Source organism: Homo sapiens, chromosome 2 (genome assembly GCF_000001405.40).
Source record: "Homo sapiens chromosome 2, GRCh38.p14 Primary Assembly".
In the NCBI taxonomy this organism is placed as follows: domain Eukaryota; kingdom Metazoa; phylum Chordata; class Mammalia; order Primates; family Hominidae; genus Homo; species Homo sapiens.
Genome location: NC_000002.12, coordinates 107,685,510 through 107,689,798, shown reverse-complemented (window position 1 = coordinate 107,689,798; position 4,289 = coordinate 107,685,510). Strand labels below are relative to the sequence as shown.

The window sequence follows — 4,289 nt, the reverse complement described above, 5'->3', positions numbered from 1 at the left end:
CTAAAACTCATTTCTTTTCTATTTCAACCCCCATCCCACAGCAGTTATCCCTTAGCTGTACCGCCTTTCACTCAGACTTACATATGGATCTAAGGGAAGAGGACCTCAGTGGCCTGCAGTGTGGCTCTGTCCTCAGGGCCCTCTGCTCACACCAACATCTGTGGAGAGGTCCAGGCCAGTGGTTGTTCTGTTGTCTCTGTAGACTTTTCAGACCCAGGAGCTGTCGCCTCTTCAGTATCATTCCTTGCTCGGCTGCACACCAGTGCATTGTTTCTCCTCCTATGGTGTACCAAGGTACCAGGATCTCAGTGAGACTCTAATGTTTTTCTGTCTAGTCACCTGCACAGTCATTCTTCTGGAGTCCTATGACTCTTCCAAGGAAAGAGAAAACCATTTCTCTGTTTTCAGATCCTACAAACTAAATTGGGAGTTTCATCACCGCAATCTAGGATCAATTTTGGGTGGTACAGGAGTGGTGGTAAATGTGTGTGTGTGTGTGTACACAAGTGCATGTATATCTGTGTGAACATGTGCATGGATTTGTGTGTGCATGTGCATGCATGTATGTGTGTGTGAGAATGTGTGTACATGGTGGCAAAAACCATCAGCATCTGAGCCCTCATTGATTTCCCTGGGATTCTCCTCTACCCAGACAGATACTCTTTATCAACCTGAGAAAAGATTGGACTGCCAAATTTATTTTATGTGTGTGGAATTATTTCTATTCTCACCTCAGAACCTAAAATTTTGAAACTCTGAAGGTAGGAAGAGACCCACTGACCCAGTGTCAGTAGTGGTGGGTCAGTGGTCAAAGGTGAACAATATCAAAGGAAAAAGGGGAGTAGGGGATGAGAGAACAGCTTGTTTAGTTCACAATTACTCTCCTCATAAGCACGCTGTTAGTCTCCCGTGAAATCTAAAGGGCCTGGGCCATGCTAGGAACTTCAGGAGCTGGAGGACAGGGGCCTTCCTACCACAGCTCCAGCTCTGTCTTGTAGGGTGTTCTGCTGCAGCAACTTCTAGTTTTGTGTCTCTCCGTTCCCAATTTTCAAGGCAAGAGGAAACGACTGCACCAGCTGCAGTCCAGTGTCCTCCCTGGGACCAGTTCATTCTGACCAGCGGGCTGGGCCACACAGACTAGACACATGTGTATGGAATGTTCCCAGGGAAGGGTGACTGGCAGGAGTGGGGCAGCCCCCAGGTAACATCCATTCATGCCTCAGCTCTGCTTCTTGCCCTGCACGCTTCTTCTCCATCACCCTCTTGCCTTCCATTGGGCACAGGACACAGTGCCCTTGGAGAACATGCACAGAGGCTTTCATTGTCCTAGCTACCAGATCTGTTACCTAAGGTCAGAAACCAAGAAAAAAATGGATACTTTTCCCTTTCTTGGATAACCTATTATTATGGAGTTTCTCTTAGTGAAGGAATGAGGTGAAATGCTCCAGGTACAAACACTCACTGTCAGCAAAAATAATTATGATGAAAATAATTTTACCTCGTATACTGATTTATAGCTGACCAAGTGCACTTCGGTTCCCATCACCTCAAGCCTCAGGAAAGGTTGGTGGATAGGTTTCCTAACAAACACCAATTCCTTTTCCTCCTTACTCTCAGCGTTCCCACTCTATTCAGGTCTGCCGCCGCAGTGGGCCAGGCCCCAGGGAATGAATCCTGCTCCTCTTAACCAACCGTGCAGGTGGCTTCCCCTCACTGTGGATTGACTTGGGGGTGTGGGTGAAGGCATCAATTCCAGCCAGTGAATTGTAGCGAAATTTCTGGGATATATTTTCTTTCCTAATAATGAGAGACCAACAAGGAGAGGCTTCCCATTGCCTCCCCATTTTTTGCTTTGGATTATCATTGTGTGTGCATTGAACTTTTGGAGCTGGTGCAGCCACCCTGTGACTGCTGTGGAGGCACTTCTAACACCCTGATCCTTAATGTGACAGAGTCAAAGCGGGGAGGTCCCTGTGTTTTTACGTTATCAACAGTTTATGCAGCTCACCAATTCTAGGAGTACCTACTTCTTTACTTTGGGTTAAATGAGACAGTAAATTATTCTACGACATACGCTATCTTTAGTCTATTATTGACTATTAAAGGCATTCTCCCTAATACCTTCTAAGATACCGCAGCTCAGAGACTTCAAGTAACCTTCCCATGATTACACAGCTGCTAAATGAGATTTTTCTGAACTCAATCCCAGATTTTTGGATGTCGCGTTTCTTTTCAGAGTCCAGTGACCATTTCATAAACTCATGACAGCTTTCCAGCTTGCTTAATATTTGATCCTAGGTAGGTTCCTCATTTGTTTTCAAATGCCACCCCTAGCCCTGTGCTACAATGACCTGCACAAAGCAGGTGCTCAGAGACGTGGAGCTTATTTAAATGTGTGTGGCCCTTGATCCTCAAACCCTCCCTCCACAACCGCCAACACACTCACACCCTCAGGCAGTAATCATCACCAACCAACAGTGGCACTCTGTCTCTCTCTTTCTGAACCCTGGTGCAGCTTTAGAATTCCTGGCAGTTCAGGCAAGCACTGCTTGCCCATATTTCCACCTCAGGGCAAATCTCCGGCTCACATGCACGCTGAATCTGAAGGAGCTTTGCAAACAAGTGAAGCAGCCAAAGCGAGGGGGCAGGTTTTCCTGAGTTTTGCTCCTGGGTCTGCTACTCCAGACATGGATTTTTTAGGCAGTCGATATGTTTCCTTATTCATCACATGTGGCATTGATTAAGATTCCTCCCAGATGGATCAGTAGTTCTGTAAGTTTAGATATGATTTTCATTAAGTATTCATGTAAAAAGCAATAATTAAATGCCTACTGTGTGACCAGCATTGTTCATATGCTGGAGCTATAGAACAACGCAAGGCAAGAAAATTCTCAGGAGAAAAACAATTTGATAGAAGAACCAACAAGAGAATGTAAGACCAATAAGAGAATATAAGACCAAGGTATAGAATGTTACAATAGAGCCAGATCCAGACAGTAGGCAAGAGCAGGTGCAAAATGGTGGGGAGGGCTGCTTGTATCACATGAATGAACGCCGCCTGGACGGCTTCTGTGTTTCCTCCTCCCTGGCTTCTGCACAAGTAGCAGTTTTACCTCTGCTGAAGCAAAGTGTTGGCAATTCCAGGTCCTAAATTTAACTATTATGAGGTCACAGAAAAATAGCAATCACTTAACAAAAAATCTGGAGCCAGTATTTTACATGGAGTAAGATATCTGCTTTGGAAATTTCCAAATATAGATCACCAAAGTTGTCAATTCTACTAAATCAAGGGAAAGCCTATGAAACTTAAAATTCTAGGCTACAGTACACATTTAGAATTGAGAGAATATCCTTATATATATTTAGAATAATTCCTCAGTAAGACAACTTCAATGAGAACGTTTCTAGAGGGTGGAATTAAGACCAAGTCACTGTTTCTCTTCATTGTAATGGTTCATTAGACTTGAGGACTTTGTTGCTACAGGAGTGGCTCCAGGCTACCATTAATAAGGACTATTTGGAGACATTTATACACTCAAATCCCACTTGATGCAGGTGCTGTATTTATTGAAGCCTCTTATTTTATAGCTCATTTTAAATGAAGGAGAACACTTCATATAAAGGTTAAGTGTGATAGCAGGAGGAACCAGGTCTCAGAAAGCATCCAAAGGTGGCCTCTTGGCTCGAAGGGCAGTAGACACTGGGCTTCCTAGGGCTGCCACTGGAATAACCACCTTTTCTTCCATCTGAGGCTTTGCAACCTGCTACTCAGATAATCACAGCTGCTTTTATTGAATGGCATTGGAGGAGGCTTTCAAAAGGAATGTTGAATTAGAAAAAGGCAAAGAAATGACTTCATAATGGATTAAATACTGGTGTTGGGAGTAAATGTGTGCTATTTTTACCAATGCTGTCTTCATTTGCCATTGCCTCTATCCTTACCATAGTCAATATTGCATTGCATGTTTCTTAATGAGGGGTTTGCTTTAAAGCTAAAGTGCTTTGAACTCAGTATGCTTCCATTCAGCTCGGCTGGAGCCCCCTGCACCATCATCTGCTTATCACTGCCATAGCTCAGAGGACAGAACATTAGGGCAAATTAGGGCACACTGTTTGCTGAAAGCTCAAACCTCTGGTAAAGAATGTGTTTTATTCACTGTATGCATCATGCTGTGTTGCTGGACTAGTGTAATTGCACATCTATATGCCTTCACTTTTTTCTGTCAGGAGATACAGCGGATAGCTGTACAAAACAGTCCTAGAATCAATATGCATGAAATAAAAAGAGC

At 44.0% G+C, this 4,289-nt stretch overlaps 1 annotated feature.

Moving 5' to 3' along the window:
- Positions 219-419: a silencer, noted in NCBI's record as "peak3808 fragment used in MPRA reporter construct". NCBI's record gives its function as "represses an SCP1 promoter by STARR-seq MPRAs in K562 erythroleukemia cells {active_cell/tissue: K562}" and the evidence as "EXISTENCE:reporter gene assay evidence [ECO:0000049][PMID:32103011]".